General features: G+C 35.3%; 1 protein-coding gene across 3 annotated transcripts in view; it reads right to left on the bottom strand.

The window, feature by feature from the left end:
• The window catches only part of ADAMTS20 (ADAM metallopeptidase with thrombospondin type 1 motif 20), a 199,441-nt gene that overhangs the window by 92,329 nt on the left and 94,446 nt on the right, over positions 1-12,666 (bottom strand). For all 3 annotated transcript variants that reach the window (XM_011538754.3, XM_017019979.2, NM_025003.5), the window contains 4 exons: positions 8,816-8,961; positions 7,423-7,604; positions 7,183-7,319; positions 1,504-1,621 (listed from right to left, as the gene is read on the bottom strand). In XM_011538754.3, coding sequence (XP_011537056.1) covers positions 1,504-1,621; positions 7,183-7,319; positions 7,423-7,604; positions 8,816-8,961 — 583 coding nt within the window. The remainder of the gene's footprint in view (positions 1-1,503; positions 1,622-7,182; positions 7,320-7,422; positions 7,605-8,815; positions 8,962-12,666) is intronic.

Consider the following 12,666-nt stretch of genomic DNA (forward strand, 5'->3'; position numbering starts at 1 on the left):
GCAAGCCTAAGGCATTGCAAAGGTGACAAGATGAAGGCTACCACCAGGGGGCAGAAATGTGACAAATGCTAATCAGACCTTGCAAATGAGTTTAACGCATTGTTCTATTTGCAAACTGATTAATGCACAGTACAATTTTCACAAGATTACATATTTGATCTTAATTTGGTTCATGTGGCTTTATCCTGGAAAAAATATTTTTCAGTAAATACAGACTGTAATAAGTATGTGCCATGCATTATAGAAGGGAATCAAATGTGTGTAGCTCCCAAGAAATAACTAGAAAAATCATATATCAAATCATCTAGTAACCGAGATTTGTAAATATCAGAGTATAAAATGTACTATGTTTTTCACATACATAAAAACATAAATATTAAGTTTTAAATTATACTGTTTTAATGGAAGTAAGTAACAATTTGAACACACATGAACACAATTTAAAGCTGAACAGTCAGACTGTAAAAAATAGGCTAGGTGTGGTGGTTCATGCTTGTAATTTCAGGACTTTGGGAGGCCGAGATGGAAGGATCCCTTGAGGCTAGGAGTTTGAGACCAACCTAGCAATACATTGAGACCCATCTCTACACACACACACACACACACACAAATTAGATGGGCATGGTGGTGAACACCTGTAGTTCTAGGTACTGGGGATGAGGAGGTGGAAAGATTGCTGGAGCTCAAGAGTTCACAGCTGCAATGAGCTATGATTGTGCCACTGTACTACAGCCTGGGCAACAGAGTAGCACCCTGTCTCTAAATAAATAAATGAATAAATAAGGTTGTAAGAAATAAATTTAATTTGCAAAGAAAGTTTTAAAGATCTGCTTTAATTATCATAAAAACAAAAAAAAATTGCCCAGAAAACATTACAATGGAAAATACTTTACATAGTCTCATGATATTTTGGAGAAAAATTAAATTATGGCCAATATGTGATCCAGATACTGCCTGGAAAATCAAATGTGACAATAATTCTGAAACATTTAATTCAGAAAATATATAAGATAATGGTTTCACCCTTCACCTTCAATCAACATTTTCTATGTACTATTAATAAGAAATGTAACAGATAGGTCAAGTCATACCAAAAAAAGAAAGTGATTCAAGTAATGAAAATATTTGAAAGCAAGTTTCCTGGGAAAAATCACAAATATATACATTTTAGGTTATAGGGAAAAAACCATTTCATTAATGGGAGGATTATTCACATATCACACATCACAGTCAAATAGCACTGAATTTACTCTAAGAAATGCACCTAATACATTTTTAAGAATCAGATTTGCCTGGGGCAGGTGAATTCATTAATCAAGGATACATCTGGTCTAATACAGTATTTAATTTTTTTATATTTAGGAAATTTTTCCTTAACAATCATTTTGGACTAAGGGTATAGAGTAGACAAAACAGTAACAAAGAATTACTGTTACACCTTCTTTACAGACTCCATTATTATACTAAATAAAAGCGAAATCTAGAAACAAATACACAACTTACCATAATGAGAACTGTTGAAGACACCTGTTATTGTCTTGCATGAAGAGTTGTCCCCACCACACACTCCACATTTGTCTATCTTGGCACTGGAGTTTAACACGTGATCACAACCAGCTGCCTTCAAGACACAATTACAATCAATATTATAAGAATGACTAATTATGAAGAAAAGAGAGAAGATCCAAATACATACAATCAGATATGACAAAGGGGATTTACCACTGACCCCACAGAAATATAGATAACTCTCAGAGGCTACTATGAACACCTCTATGCACATGAACTAGAAAACCTAGAAGAAATGGATAAACTCCTGGACACAAACACCCTCCCAAGACTGAAGGTGGAAGAAAGAGAATCCCTGGACAGACCAATAATGAGCTCTGAAATGGAATCAGTAATAAGTAGGCTACCATCCAAAAAAAGCCCAGGATCACACGATTCCCAGCTGAATTCTACTAGATGTACAAATAAGAGCTGGTACCATTCCTACTGAAACTATTTAAAAAATTGAGGAGGAGGGACTCCTCCCTAACTCCTTCTATGAGGTCAGCATCATCCTGATACCAAAACCTGGCAGAGACACGACAAAAAAAAAAGAAAATTTTAGGCCAATATCCTTGATGAATACTGATACAAAAATCCTCAACAAAATACTTGCAAACCAAATCCAGCAGCAAATCAAAAAGCTTATCCACCGCAATCAAGTAGACTTCATCCCCGGGGTGCAAATTTGGTTCAACATATGCAAATCAACAAATGCAATTCATCACATAAACAGAACAAAATACAAAAATCACATGATTATCTCAATAGATGCAGAAAATGCTTTCAATAAAATTCAACACTCCTTCATGTTAAGAGCTCTTCATAAACTAGGCATTGAAGGAACATACCTCAAAATAATCAGAGCGATCTATGACAAACCCACAACAGCTATTATACTGAATGGGGAAAAGCAGGAAGAATTTCCCTTGAAAACTGGCAGAAGACAAGGATGCCCTCTCACCACTCCTATTTAACATAGTACTGAAAGTCCTGGCCAGAACAATCAGGAAAAAGAAAAAAAGAAAGGGCATCCAAATAGAAAAAGAGGAAGTCAAACAATCCCTGCTGGCTGATGACATGATTATATATCTAGAAAACTCCATAGTCTCGGCCCAAAAGCTCCTTAACCTGACAAACAACTTCAGCAAATTTGCAAGATACAAAATCAATGTACAAAACTTACTACCATTCCTACACACCAATATTAACAAACTTGAGACCCAAATAAGGAACACAATCCCCTTCACAATGGCCACCAAACGAATAAGATACCTAGGAATACAGCCAACCAGGGAGGTGAAAGATCTCTACAATGAGAATTATAAAACACTGCTCAAAGCAATAGAGATGACACAAACAAATGAAAAATACTCTATGCTTATGGATAGGAAGAATCAATATCATTAAAATGGCCATATTTCCCAAAGCAATGTACACATCCAATGCCATTTCTATAAAACTACCATTAATATTCTTTATAGAACTAGAGAAAACTATTTTAAAATTCACATGGAACCAAAAAAAGAGCCTGAATAGCCAAAGAAATCCTAACCAAAAAGAACAAAGCTGAAGGTGTCATGCTACCCAACTTCAAACTATACTACAGGGCTACAGTAACCAAAACAGCATGGAACTGGTACAAAAACAGACACACAGACCAATGGAACAGAATAGAAAGACCAGAAATAAGTCCATACAGCTACAACCATCTGATCTTAAACAAAGCTGATCAAAACAAGCAATGGAAAAAGGACTCCCTATTCAATAAATGGTGCTGGGATAAATGGCTAACCATATGCAGAAGACTGAAACCGGAACCCTTCCTTACATCTTATAAAAAAATCAACTCATGATGGATTAAAGACTTCAATGTAAAACCCCAAACTATAAAAACCCTGGAAGACAACCTAGGCCATACCATTCTGGACACAAGAACTGGCAAAGATTTCATGATGAAGACACCGAAAGCAATTGCAACAGCAAAAACTGGAAAATGAGATCTAGCTAAATTTAAGAGCTTCTGAACAGCAAAAGAAATTATCAACAGAGTAAATAGACAATCTACAGAATGGGGGAAAATATCTGCAAACTATACATCTGACAAAGGTCTATTATCCAGCATCTATAAGGAACTTAAATAAATTTACAAGAAAAAAAAACAATCCCATTAAAAAGTGAGCAAAGAACATGAACAAACACCTTTTAAGAGAAGACATACATGCAGCCAACAAGCCTACAAAAAAAGCGCAATATCACTGATCATTAGAGAAATGCAAATCAAAACCAAAATAAGATAGCATCTCACACCAGTCAGAATGACTATTATTAAAAAGTCAAAAAATAAAAGATGCTGGAAAGATTGCAGAAAAGAGAACGGTTATACACCGTTGGTGGGAGTGTAAATTGGTTCAACCACTGTGGAAAGCAGTGTGGCGATTCCCTAAAGAGCTAAAAACTGAACTACCATTCAACTCAGCAATCCCATTACTGGATATATACCCAAAGGAATATAAGTTGTTCTACCATAAAGACACATGCAGGTGTATGTTCATTGCAGCACTATTTACAATAGCAAAGACATGAAATGAACCTAAGTGTCCATTAATGGTAGACTGGATAAAGAAAATGTGATACATATACACAAAGGAATACTATGCAGCCATAGAAAAGAATAAAATGACGTCTTTTACAGGAACATGGATGGAGCTGGAGGTCATCATCCTTAGCAAACCAACACAGGAACAGAAAGCCAAATATTACACGTTCTCACTTGTAAGTGTGAGCTAAATGATGAGAACATATGGGCACAAAGAGGGGAACAACACACACTGGGGCCTGCTGAGGGTGGAGGGTAGGAGGCGCGAGAGGATCAGAAAAAGTAACTATTGGATACTAGGCTTAGTATCTGGATGATGAAATAATCTGTACAACAAAACCCTGTTACACGAGTTTACCTGTATAAAAAACTTGCATATATACCCCTGAACCTAAAATAAAAGTTAAAAAAAAAGAATGACCAACTATAAGCATGGTGCTTTAAAGTTTACAAAGTTCTTTTCACAAATATCCTTTCAATTAACAGGAGATTCAGTACAACAGAATTGTTTCAAAATATATACTCATCTAGTTGTATGTAACATTTTCACATATTCATTTAAAAAGCCAAGTTTATTAAAGGGTCATCCACAGACCTCCTGCATCAACATCACATGGGGTGGTATTTAAAAAGACAGTATCCCAGATCTTCTGAATTATAATACTTGGAAATAAAACCTAGGAATCTGCATTGTAACACTGACATTGATTCCAATACCCACTGTCATTTGAAAACCACTCTTAAAAGAAATGTAATTCAAAGAGACTAAAGTATGAGTATGTAAGTAACACATTAGAATACTCCAAAAAGATGACTTCCATGGTTATTATTTTAACTCATGACCTTAGAACTCTGCAAATAGTCTTAGCTTCAAATAAGTATTTAAAAGTAAAGTTTTCTCTAAAACTAATACCCAGCATAACAGTGCTTATTTTTAAAAATGAATGAATAAATGAATGAATATACAAGTAGATGGCTTGTTCCAGAAATTTCAAAAAAACAAATGCAGCTCCTCTCCATGAAGAAGCTGTCCTCTGCATACATTGCAATAACTCTTTCCATTGTTTGGAATGGCCTTCTAAATTTAGTGATCAGCAAAGAAAATTTCTTAAGCCTAGTGAATTTTTTTATACACAAGGCAGATATTTTCAAAATCAAAATGTTAAGCATATATTTTCTGAAAGTAGCATGCCTCTATATGTTCAGATAATCTTCATCATAACTTTTGCATTGTCATATGACTTTATGCTGCTAATTTAAAGCACAACTTTTTTCAGGCCACTGAATAACCTTTTCAGTATTTAAACTGTTTCCGACTTAAATTATTTTAATTCTCTTTGAACATCTCATTAGCTCTTTGGGTGAACAGCCTTTATCACTGAGATAAGGTAAAAGGTATTTGTTCATGGGGAGATGAAGTTGGCCCTATAGAGCTCCACTTTAACTGAAGGAATAAGTTCATAACTTATACTTATATTTTTAATTATTTTTTATCTTTTATTTTCAAACTGACAGATAACATTGTATGTTTTTATCATGTACAACATAATGTTTTGAAGAATATCAATACATTAAGGAATGGTTAAATCTAGCTAATTAACAAATGCATAACCTCACATAGTTATCATTTTTGTGGTGACAGCACATAACATCCACTAAAAATAGAACTACCATATGATCCAGCAACCTCACTACTTCCAAAGGAAATGAATTTAGTATATCAAAGAGATATCTACACTCCCATGTTTATCACAGCTCTATTCACAATAGCCAAAATATGAAATCAAACTAAGTGTCCATCAGTGGATGCATGGATTTAAACAATCTGGTTTATATACAAAATGGTATATTATTCAGCCATAAAGAAGAGGAAACCTTGCCATTTGTGACAACATGGATGAACCTGGAGGACACTGGGTTAAATGAAATAAGCCAGACACCAAAAATCAAATACTATATGATCCCATTCATATGTGGAATCTAAAAAAGTTGATCTCATAGAAGTACACTTACTATATTCTTTAGACCACATTCACTATCTTAGTTCTCAAACTCGCCATCCATTCTCAAGACTGCCATTGCAATGTTTGTGCTTTAACTCAGCATCTCATCTGCTCTGACCTACAACCCTGTTAAATGGACCACCTGCCTCCAATCTTCTAAACCCAGTATTTTGAAGATTCCAATATGCAAATCGAATCACATCTCTCCCTTGACTTCAAATGCTTCTATGTGTTTCCAAGGAGTTAAGAAAAAAAAAAAGTGCATTTGACAACCATCTGCTAGTCCCTAACTCCAACTCTGCTCCCATACTTCCTCATCTTCCTAAAACCTACTCATTTCAATACTTAGCACAAGTCTTATGCGCTCCATAAAAGGTTCTCTGAATCCTTTACCCACCTCCCCATAAAATAAGAAACTCCTTTCAATATCTCCATGCTACCTTGCAGATGACCCATAGCAGTGCATTCTAATTGTTTACATGCCTATTTCCCCCACAAATCTGTGACCATCTTGGAAGTGGGGTTCTCTGCTCCAGTCTTTTATCCTGGTGACTTGAACAGTATCTGACATCTAGTAGCTACTCAATCAATGTTTGTTGAATGTACATAAAAAATAAGTGACAGAGAGCTGGAAAGAGGAAGGGAGAATATCAATGGTTTCAACGGACAAGGAAAACATTACTGTAGAAGCTTACACTTAAAGTAGCAAAATCTCCTTACAATCCTTTTATCTTATTATTTTCTATCTTTTTAGGAAGCTGACCTCATTCCTATTTTGATTATGAGTACAATAGACCACAGAAAGTCATCAAATTTATCTTAATGCTTTGTTGAGGCATTCTTGATGACAGAGAATTCCCAGTAACCAGGCTAACCATACTTCTATAGATAGCATGATAACAAAGGTTGCTTTGTTGGAATGCATAAGAACATATGCTGAAATAGTAAAAGTAATATTTGGTTATATAAATCGAAAAAAAACATTATTCTTAAAGTCACTTTAAATCTAATAGAAACTTATAGTTTACTTACCATACACTGGCCTTGAACACAGATGTCATGAGTTTCAGTTCCACAAGGAGTACCATCTTCAACCATATCCTTCAATAGGTAGAAATAATTGGTTCCAGCAACCTGACAATAGAGTTTACAACGATCCTTTGTGCCAACTGTAAAAAAGAAAAAGGTCAAATTTTTAATGTATAATAATAAAGCTATGTGTTCTTACGTCTCAGAAAAATTTACATCAAAGAACCAGCATAATTTACTTACTGCCACTGTATCTTGGAAGCCACCTCACATTAGAGGGAATGCCACTGATGTCCAAATGTTTACCATTAAAATCAGAGCACTGCTTCTCTCGAAAGTCTTGTGTGCCTTTTGGACATGAATCAGTATTACATGATCGAAATTTCATCCTGCGGCCCACACAGTAATTTCCTCCGTTTCTTGGCCTAGTCAAATTCATTACATTTTAAAGCACATCAGTACAACATTATTTGTGCCACTTACTTCTAAAAGTTCCATTCTTTTCCAGGATCTAGAAAACCAGTGAAGTCCCACTAACACTTTTTAACAGAAGTATGTAACATGAGTTTTACGCAATTCTATGCATAATGAACCACAAAAATATCCACCTTAACGTGGACAGTGAGCCTAGAGGGCAGAAACGATACCTTATTCTTGACTAGGTTAACTAGCAAGAAACCAACAATGGAAGTTTTTTCTTAAACTTCCAAAAAAGGGTTTGCTCACTTTCTGGAAAGAAGAAAAGACATGTGGTGAGCCAAAGACAATAACAAAGGCAGGTGCCATGTTAAATAAAAAGGAAATGTATACACATCTGTCATGTATATCTTATTTATCACTCAATTCAAGGAGTTTTATGGTATCAATCTATATCCATGTTATTTTGACTTATGCTGGAAAATAAAATTTTTTGCAGAATTTTTGGAATATAAAGACTTCTAGTATAATTTATCCTAAAATTTAAATGAGCCAAGATTTTATTCAGAGTAAGTCACATTTCTGCATTAAAAATGCTTATTAATAATACTTTAAGTAAAGAGTATCATATTGCTTACCAACTTATATATCATATATACAACAAAAACATTAATTTAAAATCTTAATGCAATATCTAAGCCCTTTTAAATAGTTTGATGAGGGGGAGATATGCTTTAGTACTTATTCAGCTAAAGACAATGATGCGTCTATAACACAAGAAGCAGAGAAAATAAAGTATCACATGTCACAATGCACAAAACGGTAAAAAATTGGTAACCAAACTATATATGTTATCCAGAAGATCCGAAACATAAGTGAAAGTAGCCAGGATGTTTCATTAGGCATACAGTAAATGTGAAAATGACATTATATAACTGTGATTCATATTTATATCTCAAAATTTATACTAAATTAAAAAACAAAAAAATGAAGAAAATGGATCTCAGTTCAGATTATAAAATTTAATCTATTTATGTTTTTTTTTTTAAATGTCTGAATCTACCAAAATATAAATCAATGTGACTTAAAGTGCTCCAGAAATTTTCTGAATCTCAGAAACTTACGGACTGACCTCCAGTTTTAGAAGTGAGTGAAACTGATGTTTACTTTCTGGTGCCTTGAGATAATCTTAATTTATAGTGACATAAAAAAGACATACTCAGGACGATTACAGCGCCTGGTTGCACTTTCGATTCCGCCTCCACATGTTCTTGAACAAGAACTGTAAGGTTCCCATGGTCCCCATTCACCATTTACAGGACGTGTTTCCGTTTCTTTGTTTACACATAGCCCATGACGGCAATGCTATAAAAATAATAAGCACAAAAAGAAATGATGTGTGTCTCTAATTAGAACATCACAAAAATTATAATAGCAGCATAAAGATCAACAGAAGAACAAACTAAACAATTTGAAGCTAGCTGTTATTAATTCAGATTACATTTGAAATGATTTTATGAATATTTCCTACCTACTAAGATCTGTGGAATAGAAAAGGAGTGTAATATTTCTTCTGGCTTTAAGATTTAGAGTGTCATTGGGGAGGAAGGAAAAATTAAATAGTAAAATGGAATATGGCGGGTATTTTTTGAATAGAAGAAACCAAATACCAGGTTAATATGGTATATTTCCATCCTTCCATTTTTTTACTCAAAGTATCTATACACTCTTCCACTCTTATAAAAAGCTTTCTACTTTATTCTATCCGAAGTCTCAAATGACAACCTTGTTCCTTTACTTTCATCAGGAAAATGGAAACTTACAGAAGAATCTACCCACAGTCTCTCACCACCTGTTCTACCCATTCAACAGCATCTGCACTCACATTCAGCCTTGCTACCTGTTAGCACACATGGAAAATTCACTATCCCAGACAAAGTCAATCCCCCTGCTTGTGTACTTAATCCATCCCTTCTCACTACACCAAACATCACTCCAGCAATTCTCTCATCTCTTCTATATCATCATTTCAGTGATAGCTAATCAAAGTATGACCATGCACTCATGCCAGTCTATGAATTAGTTTCCAGACTGAGAGACAATAACACAACTTGAGAGTAAGCATTAAGAAATTTTTGTAAGATTTTTACAGAGAAATTTTATGTCTAAGTAAATAATTTAAAAATTGGCTTATGTTTATTTTTAATTGTGGCAAAACATGCATAACATAAAATTTACCATCTTAGCCATATTTAAGCATATAGTTCAATAGTGTTAGGTATACTCATTGTTGTGCAACCAATCTCCAGAACTTTTCCATCTTGCAAAACTGAAGCCCTATACCCATTAAATGACAACTCCCATTTTGTCCTCCCTGCTACCTCCTGGTAACCACCATTCTACTTTCTGTTTCTATGAATTTGACTACTCCAGATAGTTCATACAATTGGAATCATATAGTACTAGTCTTCATGTGACTGGCTTATTTCACTTAGCATAATATGCCCAAGCTTCATCCATGTGTCAGAATTTTCTTATTAAAAATGAATAATATTCCATTGTATGTTGTCTTAGTCCATTTTGTGCTGCTATATAAGAATACCCAAGATTGGATAATTTATAAATAACAGAAATTCATTTCCCACAGGTCTGAGATCTGGGAAATCTAAGGTCAAGGTACCGGCAGGTTTGGTGTCTGATGAGGCCTTTCTCTTCTTCCAAGATAGCACCTTGCACACTGCATCCTCTGTAGGGAGAGAATGCTGGATCCTCACAGAGCACAATGCAGAAGGACCGAGACAGCTCAATCCTGAAGGCCCTTTTATAAGGCATTAAACCCACCGGTGAGGGAAGAGCCATTATGCCCTAGTCTTATCAAACAGGCCCCATCTCCCAATACTGTTACACTGGCAATTAAATTTCAATATGAGTTTGGGAGGGGGCAAACATTCAAACCATAACATACGCATTTACCACACTTTATTTATCCTTTCATCCATCAATGGACACTGGGTTGCTTTCATCTTTTTTTTTTTTTTTGAGATGGAGTCTCGCTCCGTCACCCAGGCTAGAGTGCAGTGGCGTGATCACAGCTTACCGCAACCTCCGCCTCCCACATTCATGTGATTATCCTACCTCAGCCTCCTGAGTAGCTGGGACTACAGGCGCACGCCACCACAACCCGCTAATTTTTGTATTTTTAGTAGAGACAGGGTTTCACCATGTTGGCCAGGATGGTCTCAAACTCCTGCTTTCACCTTTAGATATTGTGAAAAATGCTGCTATGAGTATGAGTGTACAAATATATCTTTGAAATCTTGCTTTCAATTCTTTGGGTATATATCCAGAAGTAGAATAGCTGGAGAATATGATAATTCGATTAATAATTTTGTGAGGAATGGCCACACTGTTTCCCATAGAAAAATATGGCTTATATTTTGGATGTCTTTTTTGCATTTCATTTTCCTAGTCAATAATTTTTATTACTTTGTACAAAAGTATCAGTTTATAAATAATCAGAAATTTTAAAAAAGAACAAAGACAATATTTTACTACAGATAATTTGCAAAGTGGTTTCCTAGATTATCACTACAGATAATTCACAAAGTAGTTGCCTAGATTATTCTCATTAACATACAAACACAGCTGTTATTTCTCTCACTTTAAGAAAACAATAGCAACAACAAAACCTTTCTTAGATCTCACTGCCCTTACCAGCTACTGCTCTGCTTCTCCTTGAAAGAGTCGGCCATGTACATTCTTTAACTCCCTGTCTATTCTCTCATAACCCCGCCCCATGAGGAATATATCCTATTCCTCCATGAATCTGCTCAAATTGTTAGAAATGCAAAATGCTTGTTCCTCGGTGCTGCAAAGAAATAGCACTCGAACATAAATTTAAGTTTCTCAGCAAGGCAATTTTTCCTTTCTGCAAAAAGGGTGCTCCTCACAGATGGAACAATGGCAAGAGCACACCTGGACAGGGCAGGGGCAGGAGTTCTTACTCCTGACACAGATAGACCCTACTGCTGTGTCATTCCCTACTGGCTAGGGTTGGACTGCATAGTCTAAGCTAATTCCGATTGGCTCTTTTAAAAAGAGCAGGAGTACAAGCCAGAGTGGCGGGGTGAGTAGTTTGGTGGGAAGGATGGGTAGGAACAGGTAACTAAAGATGACTTAGGTCAGAGCAGGTAACCAGGGGAACAGATATGAATTACTGATTAGGAATGGCAGGAAAGTTGTTTACTGAAACTAGAGACAAGGAGGCAAAAAGAACCAGGAAGTTAAACTTTAAAATGGAGAATCAAAGAATAAGAGAGCTGAACATACTGACATACTGATTCTTTGAAGAGAAACCTGGGGTTCACTATATTTAACAATGTGTAGGACACCAATAGCCAGTTCTTATTCTCTGTCTTCCTTGACTTATCAGCAATGTGTGCACAATTAATCATGCTTCTTCTTTGACATAATTTTTTTCTCTTCATTTCCAGGGCTCTACACACTTGGTTTTCTTCCTTTCTTCAAAACTAATTGTTCTCATTTTCTTCTGTTGTTTTTTCTTTTTCTTTGTGACAACTTAGTGTTGGAATGTTTCTCCAGGCTCACATCTAGTTTTTTTATTCTTTTCTGTTAACAGTCACTTCTAGTCCAGATCTCTCTCTTAAATTATCTTCTTCTCTGTGACAACTTAATGTTGGAATGTCTCTCCAGGCTCATATCTTGGTTTTTTAATTCTTTACTATTAAGAGTTACTTCTAGTCCAGATCTCTCTCCTAAACTCCAGACTCATATATATGCCTGCTTACTTATGACTATTTACTAGAATGTCTAATAAACATTTCAAGCATAGCATATCCAAAACTGAATTCCTGCCTTCCCAACTCAAAACCTACTTTTACCAAGTTGATCTAAGTTGTTCAGCCAAAAGCCTAGTCATCATTTCTCTTCTTCCTCTTTGAACACTCCACATCTGATACATTAGCTAGAATAAATGTTCTAGTTCCTTTTAAAATATATCAAAAATTGACCTTTCATTATCTCACTACTACTACTCTGGTTTGAGCACTA

This window comes from Homo sapiens, chromosome 12, assembly GCF_000001405.40.
Source record: "Homo sapiens chromosome 12, GRCh38.p14 Primary Assembly".
NCBI classification, from domain to species: domain Eukaryota; kingdom Metazoa; phylum Chordata; class Mammalia; order Primates; family Hominidae; genus Homo; species Homo sapiens.